Source organism: Homo sapiens, chromosome 10 (assembly GCF_000001405.40).
Source record: "Homo sapiens chromosome 10, GRCh38.p14 Primary Assembly".
Taxonomy (NCBI): domain Eukaryota; kingdom Metazoa; phylum Chordata; class Mammalia; order Primates; family Hominidae; genus Homo; species Homo sapiens.
This window is the reverse complement of record NC_000010.11, coordinates 117,028,037-117,051,057: the sequence shown is the minus strand read 5'-3', so window position 1 is coordinate 117,051,057 and position 23,021 is coordinate 117,028,037. Positions and strand designations below refer to the sequence as shown.

General features: G+C 37.4%; 1 protein-coding gene across 1 annotated transcript in view; it reads left to right on the top strand.

The window, feature by feature from the left end:
- The window catches only part of SHTN1 (shootin 1), a 245,110-nt gene that overhangs the window by 75,529 nt on the left and 146,560 nt on the right, over positions 1-23,021 (top strand). Inside the window, exon 2 of the mRNA NM_001258300.1 lies at positions 2,548-2,613. The gene's annotated coding sequence lies outside the window, so the exon portion shown is untranslated. The remainder of the gene's footprint in view (positions 1-2,547; positions 2,614-23,021) is intronic.

Below are 23,021 nucleotides of genomic sequence, written 5' to 3'. Positions count from 1 at the left end.
TGAGACAGGATCTCACTCTGTCACCCAGACTGTAGTGCAGGAGTGCGATCAGACATCACTGCAGCCTCAATCTCTTGGGCTCAAGCGATCCTCCTGCTTAGCTTCCTCAGTAGCTAGGACTACAGGCAGGTGCCACCACACCCAGCTAATTTTTATTTTTATTTTTTTGTAGAGACGAAGTCTTACTATATTGCCTAGGCTGCCTCAAACTCCTGGGTTCAAGTGATGCTCCTGCCTTGGCCTCCCAAAGTGTTGGGATTACAGGTGCGAGCCACCAAGCCTGGGCTGTGTCACCATGCCCAGCCTGTTCTCAGTTTCATATTTGATTTTAGTAATTGAATCTCTCTCCTTTTTTTTTTTAGTCATTCTAGCTAAGGTTTGTCCATTTTGTTGATCTTTTCAAACAATTAACTTTTGGTTTTACCAATTATTTTGTTCTTCTAATTGTCGATTTCATTTATTTGCACTCTAATATTGATTATTTCCTTACTTGTTCTAACTTTGGGTTTGGTTTGCTCTTCTTTTTCTTGCTAATTAAGGTGTACAATTAGATTATTGACCTAAGATTTTTTGCTAATGTAGGCTATGAATTTCCCTCTGAGCACTGCTTTCACTGCATCCATATGTTTTTATATATTGTATTTTATTTTCATTCATCTCAAAGAATTTCCAGTCATTCTCGTGATTTCTTTTTTAATCTATTAGTTGTTTAAACTGTTATAATTTTAATGGCTGTAGTGAAATCTTCTGTATTATTCCTGATACTGATGATTTATATATTTTATCTTTTTATCTTTATCAGTCTTGCTAGAGGTTTATCAGTTTTATTGATTGTTTTCCAATGAAGAAGGCTTTGTTTTATTGATATTCTCTATTGTTATCGTTCTATTTTTGTTAGACATGGGGTCTTGCTGTGTTGCCCAGGATGGCCTTGAACTCCTGGGCTCAAGCAATTCTCCTGCCTCAGCCTCTTGAGTAGCTGAAACTACAGGCTCATACCACTACATCTAGCTAATATTCTCTATTGTTTTCAGTTTCATTTATTTCTGTTCCTATCTTATTTCCTTCCTTCCACTTCCTTTGGATTTGCCCTTCTTTTTCTATTTTCTTGAGATGATTATTTAGATTATTGATTTCAGACCTTTCCTATTTTCTAATATAAGCATTTAGCAGTATAAATTTCCCTCTCAGTGCTACTTTAGCTATGTCCCACATATTTTGATATGTGTATTTTCATACCGAAAAACATTTAAGATACTTATTGCATCATGGAATTTTTCAGTACCTAGTCTAATGGCCCTTAATTTCCTCAACTGTGGCCCCTTTCCTTCATCCAAGCCTCTCTTAAATCATGGTTTCTAGAACGTAGATGTCTGGATTGGTCTAGCTATTGCAGAATAGTACTAGACTATCTGTTCATTCCTTTGTTTGTTCATTCATTTACCCATTCATTCATTCAACAAACATTTACTGCGGTCCTATACCAGTCATTGTGCTGGCTAGGAATATAGAGATGTTTAAACAGACATACTCCTTCTCTTTATGGCTCTGTCTGGCAAAGATGACAAATAATTAAACAAATAATTTCAAGCATCACCACTATCTCCCTTGTTATAGAAACTCTACTACCATTAACACAAAGCTAGGTTAAAATTCTATGAGGTTTTTTGTTTTTTTTGTTGTTGTTGTTGTTTGTTTGTTTTTTTCCAACAAGTTCTGCCATTTTCTATCCTATTTTCAAAAGTGTTTGCCACCTTGAACCTAGGGTGATCCTCAGCTGGTCTGCACTCTACAGGCTATTCCAGTTGCTTAAAGCTGACTTGTTTCTGATTGGTTAAGGCTGTGGTTGGATGTTTTGAAGATCATCCCTGACCTGAACCATGACTGCAAACATCTCTGTCTGTCCCTTTCCATTGATCACTCTTTTGTGATACAATCTGAGCCCATAATGGAGTAGCACCTTAGCTTTGGGTAGAGTGATAAAATTTTTTAGAGTTCTGTTAGTTAGGACTTTTGGTCATCACCAAACCCTTGATAGATATGGTCCCCAATTGACAGATGAACCAATTGAGACTCCGAAAGGCTAGGTTACTTGCCCAGTTGGGAAAATCAAGAACTGATACAGGTTTTTAGATTCCCACCTAGGCCTTTACTTTTGCCTCAATCTCACTGTCTCTTCCTAGTTGACCATTAAATATATTTTAAAGAGGGCAAAGTCCAATTGCATAATAGGTCTGCCTGTCTGAAACATGATAATTAGTGCTAATGGCTGGGTATTACCTGGCATGCATGTGTTAGGTTTACAGTAAAGAATGTCTACTTTTTATTAACTGTCCTTTTAGATATATTAGTGACTGTCACACCTGAATTATAACAAAGAAGCACTACAGAAGTTCAATGTGGGCGGCAAAATTCTTTGAAGAATAACTAGTTATAATTGGGGAGTCTGAACACATTTCAGAGTTGCACGTTTAATATGCAGTATGCTTAATTGCACTGTAATTACAGTATTTTAGAATGCCATGCTAAGTGTTTAATCCTTTTCAGGTTTGCCCTCCAATCAGTGGTCTGCCTTCATTTTCCAGATTGATGAAGTCTGCCTCAGAGAAGGGGGTAGGTAACAAGACCGTGCCGATGTGTCTAATCAGCTGGGAAGGTTGTAAAATGAATCTTTCCTATCTAGAATTTATATTTAATCATAGTTATATTCTCTTTGTGAATGAGTGTTGATTAGTTAGTTGTCAGAATAGGACAACAATAAGAGCTTTTATTTATCCAGATAAGTTATGCTGGAGTCATTATTTAGGTCTGATTGAGTTGATGGAGATATTTACATTACCTCAGCACACAGAGCCACTTAATCTTATTCATAATGTTAATTATATACTCCAAGAGTTACTGCCATGCTCTTATTTATGGTGTTTACTATTCGGGTTTGTTTATATATGTGATGACTTATGGATCCCTCTTTTCACCGGACTATGCCCTTTTTACAGCTGCAAAATGCACCTCCACTTATAAAAACTGATCTTCAGTAGTTTGTTCACAGTGTTTCTGATGTCATCTAATTTGGGGAAGGAAACTCTCTTTGGTTTCAGAGAGTTAGTTAAGACTACATAATTGAACTGACTTTTAATAATTTTTTTTTTTTTTTGGCTCATGCCTATAATCCCAACATTTTGGGAGGCTGAGGTGGGTGGATCATTTGAGGTCCAGAGTTCAAGACCAGTCTGGCCAACATGGTGAAACCCCATCTCTACTAAAAATACAAAAAAAAAGAGAGACTTTTTTTTTTTTTTGGTCTTTATGTATTTGTGTATGCTTTTGCAGTGACTGGAGTTTTCTTTCCCTGCATACCTCCTGCAAACTATTATTTATTCTTTTAGGCCAGGCCTGAAATTTCCATTCTTCAAGGAAGGCTACCTTAATTGTACCAGAGAGAGTTAATCATTGCCTGCTTTATCTCAACTACTGTATCTGAGAATTAACACCATCACAGCCCCGTCAAACTGTATCGCAATTATCGTTGATACGTTTGCTTTCAATAACAGACTGGTTTATTTGAGAGTTAGGACCATATTATATTCATGTCTCTTATCACCCAGATCTAATAGTGCCTGGTACATAATAGATGATTAATCATTTCTCAGTGTTGAATGACATAGATTATTTTTAAAAAAAAATATTTTTGAGGGCTGGGCATGGTGGCTCACGCCTGTAATCCCAGCACTTTGGGAGGCTGAGGCGGGTGGATCACGAGGTCAGGAGTTCAAGACCAGCCTGGCCAAGATGGTGAAACCTCACCTCTACCAAAAATACAAAAAAATTAGCCAGGCATGGTGCTGGGCACCTGTAATCCCAGCTACTCAGGAAGCTAAAGTAGGAGAATCACTTGATCCTGGGAGGCAGAGGTTGCAGTGTGCTGAGATCGTGCCACTGCACTCCAGCCTGGGCGACAGAGTGAGACTCTGTCTCAAAAAATATATATATTTTTTGAAAAATAATTTACATATCATAAATTCACTCTTTTGTTTTTTCATTTTTTCTCTTTTTTTTTACTGCCAGAACTTCACTCTTTTAAAGTATGCAATTAAGTGGTTTCTAATATATTTACAAAGTTGTACAACTATCACCATTATCTAATTTCAGAATATTTTCATTATCCCAGAAAGAAACCCCATACCCACTCTCAGTCATTTCTCATTCCCTCTTTTCCCCAGCTCCTGGCAACTACTCATCTAATTATTGTCTCTATGGACTGTCCTATTTTGGACATTTTATGTAAATGGAATCATATAACATGTGACTTCTTTCTCTTAGCATAACATTTTCAAGGTTGGATGATGTAGCATGTGTAGGAACTTCATTCCTGGCCAAATATTATTTCACTGTATGGATATATCATATTTTGTTTATCCATTTACCAATTGATGGATATTTGGGTTGTTTTTAGTTCTTGACTCTTATGAACAATACTACTATGAATATTCATGTTTTTGTGTGTACATATGTTTTCAGTTTTCTTAGGTATATACATAGCAGAGGAAGTTCTGGGTCATATGACAACTCTATGTTTAACTTTGGGAGTTGCTGCCAAACTGTTTTCCAAAATGGTTACACTATTTAATATTCCCACTGGCAATGTATGATGCTTCCAATTTCTCCACATTCTCCTCAACTCTTGTTGTCTGTTTTTTTATTATAGCCATCTTCATGGGTGTGAAGTATTTCATTGTGGTTTTGATTTGCATTTACCTAATGACTCATGGTGTTGAGTACCTTTATATGTCCTAAATGGCCATTTTTTACCCTAGCTTCTTTGTATTTTTTGCAGTTTGAGTATATGTCTAGGTATAGTTTTTGTGTGTGTGTGTTTATCTGGGTTGGTGTTCTCTGAGCTTCCTGGATCTACAGCATTGTGTCTGTCATTAATTTTGGAAAATCCCCCAGCATTATTCCTTCAAATATTTCTTCTGTTTCTTTCCCTCTTTCTTCTCCTGGTGTTCCAATTATAAAGCACATTGATTCTTTCCTCAGTTGTATCTGGTTTATTGATGAGCCTGTGAAAGACAGTTTTCATTTCTGATACAGTATTTTTTATTTCTAGCATTTTTTGATACCTTCTTAGAGTTTTTATCTGTCTGCTTACCTTACCCATCTGTTATTGTATGCCATCCACTTTTTTCATTAGAACCCTTAGCATATTAAGGGTTCTTTAAATACCAGTCTGGTTACTTTAAATACCAGTCTGAAAATTTAAAAAGCTGAGTCTGGTTGTGATGCTTACTCTGTCTCTTTAAGCTGCATGTTTTATTGTCTTTTAGTATGCCTTGGAATTTTCTGTTCAAAGCTGGACATGATGTACTGAGTAAAAGGAATTGAGGTAAATAGGCCTTTGGCATGAGGTTAATCTGACTAGAAGTTAGGCTGTGTTTACTGTTTGCCATAGTTGTATGTGTCAGAAGCTAACATTTCTTCTAGTGTCCTTGTTTTTGTTTCAACTGTTGTATATGGGCTTTCCTGAAGACTTCTTCTTAAATAAGGTCTGGGATGTGGAATTATTTCATATGTAATTGCCTTGTATTAGTAGGTCCCTGAATAATGTAGATGTGGTGGTAAGATGTGGGGAGAGGAGAAGTGTGCTATAGTCCTGTGACTAGTTCTCAGCTTTTTCGTGAGCCTGTGCCTCTGGGCTGTGACCTTTATGTTTCTCAGCTCATTGTTCTTACCAAGATCAAGTCATTTTTAAATATAAATGCCCATCAGATTGTTGCACACTTTTGCTTATTTTCCAGAATTCTGAAAATGTTGATTTCAACAATTTTGTCAGTGTTCTCATTGCTTTTAAGGAGAAGATTTCCAGAGTTTGTTACTTTTATTTCTGCTGATACCATTCCAGATTATTCTCCATAAATGAATGTTGTGAACATGCTGCCTAGTTCAGAAATAATACAAATTTCCATTTCTTATAGAAAGGCTTGGCACTAATACTCATCAAAGATGGATTTTGTAAGTTTTGTAAGTTGTCAGTATATCCTGCTAATCTTAATTAAAATATTAATTGCTTGATGATGATCTAAATACTTGCTCTGCATATATATGCACATATTAAACTGTTAAAGTATTAAGAAACTTAATAGCTAAGCTTTAAAATGACACAAATTGCTCAGAAACATCCTTTCTTTTTAGCACCTTAATATGCCAAAATTAGGACTTTCATTGAAAATGTTATAAGGCAACAATGAAATTTCATCGTCTCTCATTGTTAGGCATTACCATCAAAATATTTTGACCATACTTTTCACTTCAACATAGGTGTTTAACATCTATTCTCAGCTTTTCAAGGAGGTTTTTGGAGGTATATTTTTTAATTCTGATGTTTCCACTCTGTTAGGTCAGAAAAATAATCCAAGCTAAATGCTTTTTGTCCTGTTATTTGGGTACTTATAGACTCCCTACTAAATTACTTCTTTGATTTCAAATTGATATAGAAAATACTCTACACAGATTTCAAGAATGGGTGTTTCACAGTATGTATTTATTGCAGTTTTGAGAAAGAAATTGGACATAGCTTATCTTATTCAGACACAAATTACATCATTGTTAACAATGTTACACAGTTTCTAAATCCTTTTTTTTCCAATAGTTATAAGGCTTTCGTGTAGGTGAGTATGTAAGTAATGTACATACATATAGTTGAACACTATGTAGCTTTAAAAAATAAGGTAAATCAATGTGATAATATGGAAAGATCTCCAAGATATATTGTTAAGTAAAACAGATTATAGAATAGTATAAATGAGCCATATTTATAAAAATATGTGTATAAGAATATGTATTAACATTTCCAGGAGAATATCTATGAGACATAATAGTAGTTACCCTTGAGTAGAGTGGAGAGGTTGGAGGAAGAGAAAAATACTTACTTTATTGCTATACTTGAATGAAAATAAAGAGCAGATATTAGTTTCGTAACTTAAAAAATAGTTTTAAAATCTATTTTCAACCTGGCATTTGAACTACAGATTAATAAAATAATTTTAGAACTAAGCTGTCTCCTGGAGAATCATTTAATTTTTATAATATTGAAACATTTAAATTTCCCCTTATTGCACATTCTTTTCCATATATACAATTCTCATTTTATATTTTATTTTCCCCTAAAAGCCCCTTGTTTATTTATTTATTTGTTTGTTTGTTTATTTATTTATTTATTGAGACAGGGTCTTGCTCTGTTGCCCAGGCTGGAGTGCAGTAGCATGATCACAGCTTACTGCAGCCTCCACCTCCAGGGCCCAAGTGATACTCCCAGCTCAGCTTCCTGAATAGCTGGGACTACAGGCATGTGCCACCATGCCTGGCTAATGTTTTACATTTTTTGTAGAGATGGGATCTCCCTATGTTGCCCAGACTGGTCTCAAACTCCTGGGCTCAAGCAGTCTTCCTGCCTCAGCCTACCAATGTGCTGGGATTACAGGCATGAGCCACCATGCCAGGCCTCCCTCTCTTCTTTATTGAGTCATTAAAAAGAAAAGAATTGTGATAATGTTTTCATAACAAAGTTTACCATTTTAATCATTTTTAAGTATGCAGTTTTGTGACATTAAGTATATTAACATTGTAGTACAACCATCACCACCATTGGTCTCCAGAACTTTTTCCATCTTTCTAAACTAACATATCTGTACCCATTAAACAATAAAGATCCATCCTGGCTAACATGGTGAAACCCTGTCTCTACTAAAAATACAAAAAAATTAGCCAGGCGTGGTGGTGGGCACCTGTAGTCCCAGCTACTCGGGAGGCTGAGACAGGAGAATGGCGCGAACCTGGGAGGCGGAGGTTGAAGTGAGCTGAGATTGTGCCACTGCACTCCAGCCTGGGCGACAGAGCGAGACTCCATTTAAAAATAAATAAATAAATAAATAAATAAATATAAAGATCCACTTTTAGGAGATGGAAATTGTCTGAAAATCATGTAAAATAAGTTTGAAAAAATATAGAAAAATAAGAATAGACTTATGGTGTCCTTCATTTTAAAATACTGCTTTCAATGACCTGTTCTTACAGAGAGTTTTAGACTTCAGACAGGTTAAATATTTGTGTTTATTAATGCCACATTAGTTAATAGAATAGAAAAAGGGCCGGGAGCAATGGCAAACGCCTGTAATCCCAGCACTTTGGGAGGCTGAGGCGGGTGGATCACCTGAGGTCAGGAGTTCGTGACCAGCCTAAGAAATATGGTGAAACCCCGTCTCTACTAAAAATACAAAAATTAGCTGGGTGTGGTGGTGTACGCCTGTAGTCCCAGCTACTTAAGAGCTTGAGACAGGAGAATCGCTTGAACCTGGGAGGTGGAGGTTGCAGTGAGCCAAGATTGCACCACTGCACTCCAGCCTGGGCAGCAGAGAGAGACTCAAAAAAAAAAGGAAGTGTTGCATAGGTGCTACTGGTCATGAATATAATGGAAGCACATCCCCTTGAGAGCTGTATTGGAGTATGTTTTTCACTAGATTGGATGCTTTTCATGACAAAAAGGGAGGTATTTATCTTTATATCTACAGAAGTTAGTCAGATGAAGAGACTCAATGGTTATCAAATGTAACTACTGAAAGATGGTTAAAAATGTTGGTGTGGGACTTCCAGTATTAGGAGAGAGGGGAGCAGAAGGAGGATAAGGAGAACCTCAGACTTGAGCACCATGGAATATATATTCTTTTCTGTGGAATAACTTGAGATCCACCACAGACATTCAGTTGGAGCAGATTATGAAGGGATAAATTTGCTTCTGAGCATGACATTTCTCTGATTACATAGAAAGTGCTACTTTTGAAGGGTGGCTTCAAAGACAAAGGGCTGTTTGGTTTTGCAGCTAGTGAGCTACCATTCCTGGTAAAGATGGCCTGTAAATATCAAAGGAAAAATGGCAGATATGTTACAAAACACTTGAAATGCACTTTTGCTTTCCCTTTCTTTCTCCTTACCTGCTTCCTCTTCCTTAATGTATTTCCTCCACTAACATACATACTCAAAAACTAAATTAACTGAGTAGCATAGGGCATGAAACTGCAGTTCTGACAAGTAGCTAAGTGAATGAGAACATATCATTTAATTTTTGTGGATCTTATTTTCCTCTTATGTAAAATTGGGAATATCATTCTGTTGGTTCTTTAAGTAAAAGGAATTTTAAAATTTAAGTAGATGATTTCGAACAAATAACTCAGTGTTGGTGAATCTTTGAAAAGAATAATATAGTGTTCTATCTGTATAATCTTTAAAATACTAATGATTTTAAGCGTCTCTTCACGTGATGGGCTAGCGGTAGATATTTATGACAATGAGAGGCACACTAATTTTTCTCTAGAATTGTGAGAAAATTACAAGTGCTTCGGAAAGTTACACGTTCACCTAACCAAGGTGAACCAATGTAACTCTTCAAGACAAAGGGTGAGAATATTAAACCAGTGAACCTCCTTTCCCTCTTGAACTATAAGCCTGTGTATATGCTATCCTCGTATGAAGCAATGCCTGTCACTGAAAAAATTGAAATGCAGAAAAGAAAACACATGTTGCAGGTTTTAAAATAGTTCCAAAAATAGAGTATTGGACTCCGTGATGCTACATATTGATTTTTCAATAGTATCACTTATTTACTCATCTAGTTTTTCTTCAGCATTGAAGATTGATTTTAATAAAAATAGGTAGCTACTAAATTCGAGGAGTCACATTAAAAACCCAACTTTCTGTTGAATTTCCTTTGGCATTTCAGTAGATATACTTAGATTGGGAAAATATATTAACGAAGACATACTTAGGTATAATGCTAGACTGAGTACTGAGTGTCATAAAAAGAAATCACTTAGAGAAACAGGCCTTGTCCTCAAGAGGTGTGTGAGCTTGCTGCAGAAATAAGTAACACAAAACATTTTAAACACCGGGGCCTGTTGTGGGGTGGCGGGGGTGGGAGGGATAGCATTTGGAGATATACCTAATGTTAAATGACGAGTTACTAGGTGCAGCACACCAACATGGCACATGTGTACATATGTAACTAACCTGCACGTTGTGCATATGTACCTTAAAACTTAAAGTATAATAAAAAAATTTTAAGATAAAATAAAATAAAATATAATAAAAGAAAAAGAGTTGAGTATAAAAATAAAATTACAAAACTATTTTAATATGGCATGAGAATATTATTTTCAATGAATCATGTTTGTTAAACTATTTCAATAAAAAAGTGACAAAATCCAAAAAAAAATTTTTTTAAACATTGTTACAACTTAGATTTTAGGTGAAGTAAACTGTTCAGACCATAGTAAACACCACAAAAGTAATGAAAAGTCAATTGAGCAGTTTAAAGCAGCATAATAAAGCCCTTGCCCTAAAGCGTATGCATTCTATTAAAAAATGAGTCTGTTTTAAAAAACCGTTTTAGATTCATGAGAGTTCCCATATAGTTCACACTCAGTTTTCCCTATTATTAGCATCTTACATTAGTATGGTACATTTGGTATAATTACTGGACCAATATTTACACATTCTTTTAATTTTATTTTAGCCATTCTAAAAGGCATGTAGTGGTATGTCAATTTCTGAAAAATTTACAATTCCATTACCATTTGATGAAAAGATTTTCTTTTTGCTATTGAATTTCATTGGTGTCACTGTTGTAAATTAGTTGACTATTATGTATGGATCAATTTCTGGATCCTCTGTTTTCACTTACTTATTTTTCTTATCCTTAAATAATTCCTTAATTACTATACCTTTATATCAGATCTAGAAATCAGGTAATGTAAGTCCTCCATTCTTCTTCTTAAAGATTGTCTTGGCTACCCTAAGTCCTTTGTATTTCTATACAAATTTTCAAATCAGGTTTTCAGTATCTAAAAACAGTTTTCTGGGATTTTGATTTAAGCTGTATTCAATCTATTGATCAGTTTAGGAAGGATGGATATCTTAACAATACTGTCTTCCACATCATGAATATTGTACAGCTCTCTATTTCAGCTTTCTTTAATTTGTCCCAGTAATGTTTTACAATTTTTACTATGAAGGCCCTGCTTTTTTTTAGTAGACTATTTTTCAGAGCAGTTTTAGATTTGCAGCAAAATTGAATGGAATGTAAGAGATTCCCCAAACACCGTCTGCTCTCACACATGGAGAGATTCCCCCTTTTTCTTTCTTTCTTTTTTTTTTTTTTTGATGGAGTCTCACTCTGTTGCCCAGGCTGGAGTGCAGGGGCGCAATCTTGGCTCACTGCAAGCTCTGCCTCCTGGGTTCAAGCCATTCTCCCACCTCAGCCTCCCGAGTAGCTGGGACTACAGGTGCCCACCACCACGCCCGGCTAATTTTTTGTATTTTTAGTAGAGACGGGTTTTCACCGTGTTAACCAGGATGGTCTTGATCTCCTGACCTCGTGATCTGCCCCCTCAGCCTCCCAAAGTGCTGGGATTATAGGCGTGAGCCACTGCGCCCGGCCGAGATTCCCCATTTTTAACATCCCCTATCAGAGTGATACATTTATTACAATTAATGAACCTACATTGTTGGGTATATATCATTATCACCCATAGTCCATAGTTTACACTAAGGTTCACTATAGATGTTGTAGAGCCTATGGGTTTGGACAAATGTATAATGATACGTATCCACCAATACAGTATCATACAGAGTAAAGTCCCTGCCCTAAAAATCCTCTATGCTCTGCCTATTCATCCCTCACCACCCCATTACCTCTGGCAACAACTGATCATTTGACTATTTCCCTAGTTTTGCCTTTTCCAGAATGTCACTTACAGTAAGTAAGTCTTTTCAGATTGGCTTATTTCACTAGATAATATGCATTTAAATTTCCTCCATGTCTTTTCATGGGTTGATGCTCCTTTCTTTTTAGTGCTGAATAATATTCCATTGTCTGGATGTACCACAGTTCATTTATCACTCATGTACTGAAGGACATCTTGGTGCCTCCAGCTTTTGACATTTGTGAATAAAGCTGGTATACATATATTTGTGCAGGTTTTGGGTGGGATACAAGTTTTTAACTCTTTTTGGGTAAATACCAAAGAGGACGATGCTGGATCATATGGTAGGAGTATGTTTAGTTTCGTAAGAACTACCAAACCGTCTTCCAAAGTGGCTGTATTATTTTGCATTCTCACCATCAATGAATGACAGTTCTTGTTGCTTCACATCCTCATCAGCATTTGGTATCGTCAGTGTTCTGGATTTTGGCCATTCTAAAACAGGTGTGTAGTGATATCACGTTGTCGTTTTTTAAATTTGCATTTCCCTGATGATATTTGATGTAGATCTTCTTTTCATATGCATATTTGCCATCTAAATATCTTCTTTGGTTAGGTGTCTGTTAAAGTCTTTGTCCCATTTATTCACTGAGTTGTTTGTTTTCTTATTGTTGAGTTTTAAGAGTTCTTTGTATATTTTGGATAACAGCCCTTTATAAGATGTCTTTTGCAAATATTTTCTTCCAGTCTTGTTTTCATTCTCTTGACAGAGGTTTTCACAAAACAGAATTTTTTTTTTAATGCAGTCCAGTTTATCAATTCTTTCTTTCATAGCATGCCTTTGGTTTTGTATCTAAAAAGTCATTGCGGCTGGGTGCATTGGCTCATGCCTGTAATCCCAGCATTTTGGGAGGCCGAGGCAGGAGGATCTCTTGAGCCCAGGAATTCAAGACCAGCCTGGGCAACATAGTGAGACCTCAACACTACTAAAAAAAAAAAAAAATAGCTGGGTATGGTGGCATGTCTGTAGTCCCAGCTACTTGGGAGGCTGAGGTGGGAGGATCGCTTGAGCCCAGAAGGTCAAGGTTGCAGTGAGCTATGATCATGCCACTGCATGCCATCCTGGGTGACAGAGCATGACCCTGTCTCAAAAAACAAAAAGTATAAAAAGTCATCTCCAAACCCAAGCTCATCTATAGTTTCTTCTATGTTATCTTCTTGGAGTTTTATGGTTTTACGTTTTACATTTAAGTCTATTTTCCAGGCTATCCTTTCTGGTTCACTGATTTTTTTTTTTTTTTTTTTTTTTGAAGTCTCGCTCTGTCACCAGGCTGGAGTGCAGTGGCATGATCTCGGCTCACTGCAAGTTCTGCCTCCCAGTTCAAACAATTATCCTGCCTCACCTCCCCAAGTACCTGGGAATATAAGCATGTGCCACCACACCCAGCTAATTTTTGTATTTTTAGTAGAGATGGGGTTTCACCATATTGGCCAGGACGGTCTCGAACTCCTGATCTTGTGATCCACCCGTCTTGGCCTCCCAAAGTGCTGGGATTGCAGATGTGAGCCACCACACCCAGCCTCTGGTTTACTGATTTATTTGTCTGTTCTTTCACCAGTATCACACTGTCTTCACTATTGTAGCTTTATGGTAAGTTTTAAAGCTGGGTAGTGTCAGTCTTCCAACTGCGTTCTTATCCTTCAATATGATATTGGCTATTTTGGGTCTTTTGCCTCTCTTTATAAGCTTTAGATCAGCTTGTCAATGTCTGTGTAATAACTTGCCAGAATTTTGATTGGTATTGCATTGATCAACTTAGGAAGATCTGACATTTTGACAATATTGAGTCTTCCTATCCTTGCACATGGAATATCTCTCCATTTATTAAGTTCTTTGATTTCTTTCATCAGTTTTTAGTTTTCCTTATATAGATCTCATACATATTTTGTTAGATTTATACCTAAGTATTTCATTCTAAGTATTTTATTGAGTGCTAATGTAAATAGTATTAGGGTTTTTTGTTTTGTTTTCTTTGGAGGGGAAGTCTCACTATGTTGCCCAGGCTGGACCCTAACTCCTAGGCTCAAGCAATCCTCCCATCTCAGCCTCCCAAGCACTGGGACTACAGGCATGAACCATGATGTCTAGCTATAAATGATATTGTCTTAAATGTCAAAATCCACTTATTCATTGCTGGCATATAGGAAAGTGATTGACTTTCGTATATTAACCTTGTATCCTGCAACCTTGCTATAAATGCTTATTAGTTCTAGGAGATTTTTGTTGATTCTTTTGGATTTTCTACATAGACAATCATGTCATCTGCAAACAAAGACAGTTGTATTCCATCTAAATCTGTATAAGGTCGTCCATTTATTGTTTTTTGTGCATACATAGAAGGTATATATATTTATGGGGTATATGAATTGTTTTGATACAAGCATGTAATGCATAATAGCCACATTATGTAACATGGGGTATCCATCCCCTCAATCATTTATCCTTTATGTTACAAACAATTCTATTATACTCTTATAGTTATTTTTAAAAGTACAATTAAATTATTATTGACTCTAGTAGCCCTGTTGTGCTATCAAATAGTAGGTCTTGTTCATTCTAATTATTTTTTTGTACCCATTAACTATCCTTATTTCCCCCCACCCACTCCACTACTCTTCCCAGCCTCTAGCAACTATTCTATTATCTCCATGAGTTCAATTGTTTTGAGTTTTAGATTTACAAATAAGTGAGAGCATGTGATGTTTGTCTTTCTGTGCCTAGCTTATTTCACTTAACATGAGTTCCAGTTCCATCAGTGTTGTTGCAAATGACAGGATCTCATTCTTTTTTGTGGCTGAATAGTACTCCATTGTGTATAAGTAGCACATTTTCTTTATCCATTCATCTGTTGATGGAACACTTACATTGCTTCCAAATCTTGGCTATTGCAAACAGTGCTGCAACAAACATGAGAGTGCAGATATGTCTTTAATATACTGATTTTTTTTCTTTTGGGTATATACCCAGCAGTGGGATTGCTGGATCATATGGTAGCTCTTTTTTTAGTTTTTTGAGGAAACTCCAAACTGTTCTCCATAGTGGTTGTACTAAATTTACATCCCCCAGCAGTGTATGAGGGTTCCCTTTTCTTCACATCCTTGTCAGCATTTGTTATTGCTCCCCTTTGGATAAAAGCCATTTTAACTGTGGTTAAGATGAAATCTTATTGTAGTTTTGATTTGCATGTCTCTGATGATCAGTGATGTTGAGCACCTTTTCATATGCCTATTTGACATTTGTATTTCTTCTTCTGAGAAATGTCGATTCAAGTCTTTTGCCTTTTTTTTTTTTTTTTTTTTGAGATGGAGTTTCGCTCTTGTTCCCCAGGCTGGAGTGCAGTGGTGCAATCTCGGCTCACCAGAACCTCCACCTCCCAGGTTCAAGCGATTCTCCTGCCTCAGCCTCCTGAGTAGCTGGGATTTACAGGCATGTGCTACCACACCCGGCTAATTTTTATATTTTTAGTAGAGACGGGGTTTCTCCATGTTGGTCAGTCTGGTCTCGAACTCCTGACCTTGACGCCTACCTCAGCCTCCCAAAGTGCTGGGATTACAGACGTGAGCCACCATGTCTGGCCATTTTTGCCCATTTTTAAATCATATTATTAGATTTTTTTTCCTATAGAGTTGTTTGAGCTCCTTACATATTCTGGTTATTAATCCCCGTCAGATGGGTAGTTTGCAAATATTTTCTCCCATTCTGTGAGTTGTCTCTTCACTTTGTTAATTGTTTCCTTTGTTGTGCAAAAGCTTTTTGTGATTCCATTTGTTTATTTGTGCTTTGGTTGCCTGTGTTTATAGGATATTACTCAAGAAATTTTTGCTCAGACCAGTGTCCTAGAGAGTTTCCCCAATGTTTCTTTTGTCAGTTTCACAGTTTAAGGTCTTAGATTTAACTCTTTAATCTATTTTGATTTGATTTTTGTGTCTGGAGAGAGATAAGGGTCTAGTTTCATTCTTCTGCATATGGATATCCAGTTATCCCAATACCATTTATTGAAGAGACTGTCTTTTCCCCAGTGTATGTTCTTGGCACCTTTGTTGAAAATGAGTTCACTGTAGGTGTGTGGATTTGTTTCTGGGTTCTCTATCCTGTACCAATGGTCTATTTATTTGTTGTTGTTGTTTTGCCAGGACCATGCTGTTTTGGTTACTATAGCCCCATAGTATAATTAGAAGTCAGATAATGTGATTCCTCCAGTTTTGTTCTTCTAGCTTAGGATAGCTTTGGCTATTCTGGATCTTTTGTGGTTCCACATACATTTGAGGATTTTTTTTTCTATTTCTGTGAACAATGTCATTGGTATTCTGAGAGGGATTGCATTGAATCTGTAGATTGCTTTGGGTAGTATGGACATTTTAACAATATTGATTATTCTAATTCATGAATATAGAATATCTTTCCATTTTTTGTGTCCTCTTCAATTTATTTCACCAGTGTTTATGGTTTATATTATAGAGATCTTTCACTTCTTTGGTTAATTCCTAGATATTTAATTATATTTGTGGCTATTGTATGTGAGATTACTTTTTTATTTCTCTTAAAGATTGTTTGCTGATGGCATAAAAAATGCCACTGATTTTTCTATGTTGATTTTTTTTTTTTTAAGATGGAGTCTTGCTCTGTTGCCCAGGCTAGAGTTCAGTGGTACAATCTCAGCTCACTGCAACCTCCACCTCCCAGGTTCAAGCGATTCTCCTGCCTCAGCCTCCTGAGTAACTGGGATTAGAGGCATGTGCCACCACACCCAACTAATTTTTGTATTTTAGTAGAGATGGGGTTTCACCTTGTTGGCCAGGCTGGTCTTGAACTCCTGACCTCAGGTAACACACCTGCCTTTGCTCCCCAGAGTGCTGGGATTACAGGCGTGAACCACCATGCCCGGCCATATGTTGATTTTGTATCCTGCAACTTTACTGAATTTATTTACCAAAAAACTATTAGAACTGATAGAGTCTTTAGGTTTCTCCAAATATAAGATTACAGCATCTGCAAACAAGGACAATTTGACTTCTTCCTTTCCAGTTTGGATGCCCTTTGTTTCTTTCTCTAATCTAATTGCTGTAGCTAGGACTTTCAGTACTATGTTGAATAATAGTGGTGGAAGTGGGAATCTTTGTTGTGTTCCAGATCTTAGAAGAAAGGCTTTCATTTTTTTCCCCATTCAGTATGATACCAGCTGTGAGTCATATGAAAGTCACATATGGCTTTTATTATGTTGAGGTATGTTCCTTCTATACCCGGTTTTTTAGAGTTTTTCTCATGAAGGGATGTTGAATTTCATCAAATGCTTTTTCAGCATCAATTGAAATGATCGTATGGTTTTTGTCATTCATTCTGTGATATGATGTATCACATTGATTGACTTGTATATTTTGAACTATTATTGCATCCCAGGAATAAATCCCACTTGGTCATGATGAATGATCTTATTAATGTATTGTTGAATTTGGTTTGCTAGTATTTTGTTGAGGATTTTTTATCAATAGTCATCAGAAACATTGGCCTGTAGTTTCCTTTTTTTTGATGTGCCTTTGTCTGGTTTCAATATCAGGGTAATACTGCCCTCATAGAATGATTTTGGAAGTATTCCCTCCTCTATTTTCTGGAGTCCTTTGAGTAGGATTGATATTAGTTCTTCTTTAAGTGTTTTGTAGAATTCAGCAGTGAAGCCAACAGGTCCCAGGTTTTCTTTACTGGGAGACCTTTTATTATAGCTTCGATCTTGTTACTTGTTATTTGGTCTGTTCAGGTTTTGGATTTCTTCATGATTCAGTCTTGGTAGATTGTATGTGTCTAGGAATTTGTCCATTTCTTCTAGATTTTCCAATTTACTGGCATGTAGTTGCTCATAGTATCCACTAATGATCCTTTGAATTTCTGCAGTATCAGTTGTAATGTCTCCTTTTTCATTCTGATTTTGTTTATTTGGATCTTCTCTCATTTTTTCTTAGTCTGGCTAAAGGTTTGTCAATTTGGTTTAAGTTTAAAAAAAAACTTTTTGTTTCATCAATCTTTTGTATTTTTTTCATTTCAATTCCATTTATGTCTGCTCAGGTTTTTATTATTTCTTTTCTTCTACTAATTTTGGGTTTGGTTTGCTCTTGCTTTTCTAGTTATTTAAGATGAATCATTACATTATTTGAAATTTTTCTTCTTTTTTGATGTAGGCAGGCACTTACAGCTATAAATTTCCTTCTTGGAAATGCTTTTGCTCTGTCCCATAGGTTTTTGTATGTTCTGTTTCCATTGTTATTTGTTTTGAGAAATTTTTCAATTTCCTTCTTAATTTCTTCATTGACCCACTGGTCATTCAGGAGCATATTGATTAATTTACATGTATTTGTATAGTTTCCAAAATTCCTCTTGTTACTGATTTTTAGTTTTATTCCATTGTGGTCAGAGAAGATGCTTGACATTAGTTCAGTTTTTTTAATGTTTTAAGACTTGTTTTGTGATCTAACATATGGTCTATCTTTGAGAATGATCCATGTGCTGAGGAAAAGAATGTGTATTCTGCAGCTGACTGATGAAATGTTCTGTAAATATCCATTGGGTCTACAGTGCAGATTAAGTCTGATGTTTCTTTATGGGTTTTCTGTCTGTTAGATCTGTCCAGTGCTGAAAGTGGAGTGTTGAATTCTCCAGCTATTATTGTACTGGGGCCTGTCTCTCACTTTAGCTCTAATAATATTGGCTTTATTTATCAATGTTGGGTGCATGTTTATTTAAAATTGTTATATGGCTGGGTGCAGTGGCTCATGTCTGTAATCCCAGCACTTTGGGAGGCTGAGGCGGGCAGATCAAAAAGTCAGGAGATTGAGACCATCCTGGCTAACACAGTGAAACCCCCGTCTCTACTAAAAATATAAAAAATTAGCCGGGCACGGTGGTAGGTGCCTGTAGTCCCAGCTACTCAGGAAGCTGAGGCAGGAGAATGGCGTGAACCCAGGAGGCGGAGGTTGCAGTGAGCCAAGATCGCGCCACTGCACTCCAGCCTGGGCGACAGAGTGAGACTCAGTCTCAAAAAGAAAAAAAAATTGTTACATCTTCTTGCTGAGTTGACCCCTTTATCATTATATAGTGACCGTCTTTGTCTGTTCTTACAATTTTTGTCTTGAAATCTATTTTGCATGATGTAAGTATAGCTACTTCTGCTCCTTTTTGGTTTCCATTTGGATGGAATTTTTTTTAATCCCTTTATTTTCAGTCTATGTGTGTCTTTATGGATGAAGTTTGTTTCTTGTAGGCAACAGATCATTGGGTCTTGTTTTCTTATCCATTTAGCCACTCTATGTCTTTTGATTGGAGTTTAGTCCATTTACATTCACTGTTATTATTGATAAGTAAATATTTACTCCTGCCGTTTTGTTATTTGTTTTCTGGTTGTTTTGTGGTCTTCTTTTCCTTCATTCTTTACTTCCTTTCTTCCTTTTAGTGAAGATGGTTTTGTCTGGTGATATGATTTAGTGTCTTGCTTCTTACATATTTTGTGTATCTGTTGTATGGTTTTTGGTTTGAAGTTGCCATGAGGCTTGCAAATACTATCTTAATACCCATTGTTTTAAGCTGATAACAACTTAACCCTGTTTGCATAAATAAACAATAGAAGCAACAAGCAAAAAGAAACTACAGACTCTATCCCCCTCTTTTAAACTTTTTGCTCTTTCTATTTATATGTTATTGTACTATGTCTTAAAAATTTGTAGTTATTATTTTTGATTTGTTCATCATTTAGTCGTTTTACTAGAAATAAGAGTAGTTTATACACTGCAGTTACAGTGTTATAATATTCTGTTTTTCTGTGTACTTATTATTAGCAGTGAGTTTTGTACCTTCAGAGGATTTCTTATTGCTCATTAACATACTTTTCTTTCTGACTGAAGTATTCCCTTTAGAATTTCTTGTAGGGCAGGTCTGGTGTTGACAAAATCCCTCAGCTTTTGTTTGTCTGGGAAAGCTTATTTGTCCATCACATTTGAAGGATATTTTTACTGGATATACTATTCTCAGGTAAAACTTTTTTTCTTCAGCAATTTAAGTATGTCACTCTCTCCTGACCTGTAAGGTTTCCACCAAAAAGTGCTACTAGGCATATTGGAGCTCCATTGTATGTTATTTGTTTCTCTTCTCTTGCTGCTTTTAGGATCCTTTATTTGTCCTTGACCTTTGGGAGTTTGATTATTAAATGCCTTGAGGTAGTCTTCTTTAGGTTAAATCTGCTTGGTGTTCTATAACCTTCTTGTACTTGGATATTGATATATTTCTCTAGGTTTGGGAAGTCCTCTATTATTATCCCTTTGAATAAACTTTCTACCCCATATTTTTTTCTACCTCTTCTTTAAGACCTATAACTCTTAGATTTGCCCTTTTGAGGCTATTTTCTAGATTCTGTACATGTGTTTTATTGTTTTTTATTCTTTTTCCTTTTATCTCCTCTGCCAAGTATTTTCAAATAGCCTGTCTTCAAGTTCACTAATTCTTTCTTCTGCTTGATCAATTCTGCTACTAAAAGACTGATGCATTCTTCAGAATGCCAATTGTATTTTTCAGTCTAGGATTTCTGCTTGATTCTTTCTAATTATTACAATCACTTTGTTAAATTGGTCTGATAGTATTCTGAATTCCTTCTCTGTGTTATCTTGAATTTCTTTGAGTTTCCTCAAAATGGCTATTTTGGATTCTGTGTCTGAAAGGCAATATATCTGTTTTTCTAGAATTGGTTCCTGGTGCATTATTTAGTTCATGTGGTGATGTCCTGTTTCCCTGGATGGTCTTGATACTTGTAGATACTTGTCTGTGTCTGGGCATTGAACAGTTAGGTATTTATTGTAGTCTTCTCAATCTGGGCTTGTTTATACCTGTCCTTCTTGGGAAAGGTTTCCAGATATTCAAAAGGACTTGGGTGTTGTGATCTAACCTGTATCTGCTTTAGGGGGCACACAAAGCCCAACAATGCTGTAGTTCTCACACATTCATAGAGATACCACATTATTGGTTGTATTACGTCATTCTCACATTGCTATAAATACCTGAGACTAGGTAATTTAAAAAGAAAAGGGTCGGGCATGGTGGCTTATGCCTGTAATCCCAGCACTTTGGGAGGCCAAGGTGGGCAGATCACGAGGTCAAGAGATCAAGACCATTCTGGCCAACATGGTGAAACCCCGTCTCTACTAAAAATACAAAAATTAGCCGGGCGTGATGGCATGCACCTGTAGGCCCAGACACTTGGGAGGCTGAGACAGGAGAATAGCTTGAACCTGGGAGGCGGAGGTTGCAGTGAGCCAAGATAGTTGACACCATTGCACTCCAGCCTGGCAACAGACTAAGACACAAAAAAAAAAAAAAAGAAAGAGAGAGAGACAGAGAGAGAGGGAGGGAGGGAGAGAGAGAGAGAGAAAGAAAGAAAGAAAGGTTTAACTGGCTCATGGTATCACAGGCTATACAGGAAGCATGATGCTGGTATCTGCTCAGTTTCTGGGGAGGCCTCAGGAAACTTGCAATCATGGCAGAAAGCGATGGGGGAGCCAGCACTTCAGAAGGCTGGAGCAGGAGCAAGAAGGTGGAGGGAGGTGCCACATACTTTTAAATGACCAGAGCTCACGAGCACTCACTATCCTGAGGACAGCATCAAGGGGATGGTGCTAAACCTTTCATGAGAAACTGCCCCCATGATTCAATCACCTCCCACCAGGCCCCACCTCCAACATTCAGCATTCCAATTGAACATGAGATTTGGGTGAGGACATGGATCCAAACCATATCATTCTGCCCCAGACCTTCCCAAATCTCATGTACTTCTCACATTGCAAAATACCATCATGCCTTCTCAACAATCCCCAAGGTCATAACTCATTCCAGCATTAACTCAAAAGTCAAAAGCCCAAAGTCTCCTCTGAGACAAGGGAAGTCCCTTCCCCATATAAGCCTGTAAAATCAGAAACAAGTTAGTTTCTTCCAAGATACAATGGAGGTATAAACATTAGGTAAATATTCCCATTCCAAAAGGGAGGCATTGGCCATAAAAAAGGAGCCACAGGCCCCATGCAAGTCTGAAACCCAGCAGGGCAGTCATTAGGTCTTAAAGATCCAAAATAATCTCCTTTGACTCCACGTCCCACATCCAGGGCACACTGATATAAGAGGTGGACTCCCAAGGCCTTGGGCAGCTCTGCCCCTGTGGCTTTGCAGAGTTTTGGCCTTGGTGGCTGCTCTCATGGGCTGGCATTGAGTGCTGGTGGATATTTCCAGATTGAGTGTGCAAGCTGCTGGTGGGTCTGCCATTCTGAGGTCTGGAAGGCAGTGGTCCTCTTCTCACTGCTCCATCAGGCAGTGCCTCAGTGGGGGCTCTGCATTCCAATCCCTCATTTCCCCTCTTCATTGCCTTAGTAGAGGTTCTCCATGAGGGCTCCACCCCTGCAGCAGGCTTCTGCTTAGATACCCAGGCTTTTTCCTGCATCCTCTGAAATCTAGGCAGAGGCTCCCAAGCCTCAACTTTTGCATTCTGTGCACCTGCAGGCTTAACACCACGTGGGAACTGCCAAGGCTTGCAGCTTCCACCGTCTAAAGCAGTGGCCCTCTAAAGAAGTGGCCCAGGTTGTACCTGGGCCCCTTTGAACCATGGGTGGAACTGGAGAGCGGGATGTAGGGAGCCATATTTTGAGGCTGTGCCAGGGCAGTGGAGCACTGGGCCTGGCCCAGGAAATCATTCAGTCATCCTAGGCCTCTGTGCCTGTGATGGGAGGGGCTGCCACAAAGTTCTCTGAAATGCCTTTGAGGCCTTTTTTCCATTGTCTTGGCTGCTAGCACTTGGCTCCTTTTTACTTATACAAATTTCTACAGACTGCAGGAATTCCTCCCCTGAAAGTGGGCCTTTATTTACTACTACATGGCCAGGCTGCAAATTTTCCAAACTTTTATGCTCTGCTTCCCCTTTAAAATAAGTTCCAACTTTAGGTCATTTCTTTTCTCACACATATGAACAAAGGCTATTAGAAGCAGCCTGGTTACATCTTGAATAGTTTTCTGCTTAGAAATTTCTTTCACCATATACCCCAAATCATCACTCTCAAGTTCAAAGTTCCACAGATCCATAGGGCGGGGACACAATGTAGCCAAGTTCTTTGCTAAGGCCTAACAAAAAATGACCTTTGCTCCAGTTCCCAGTAAGTTCCTCATTTTAATCTGAGGCCTCCTCAGCCTGGATT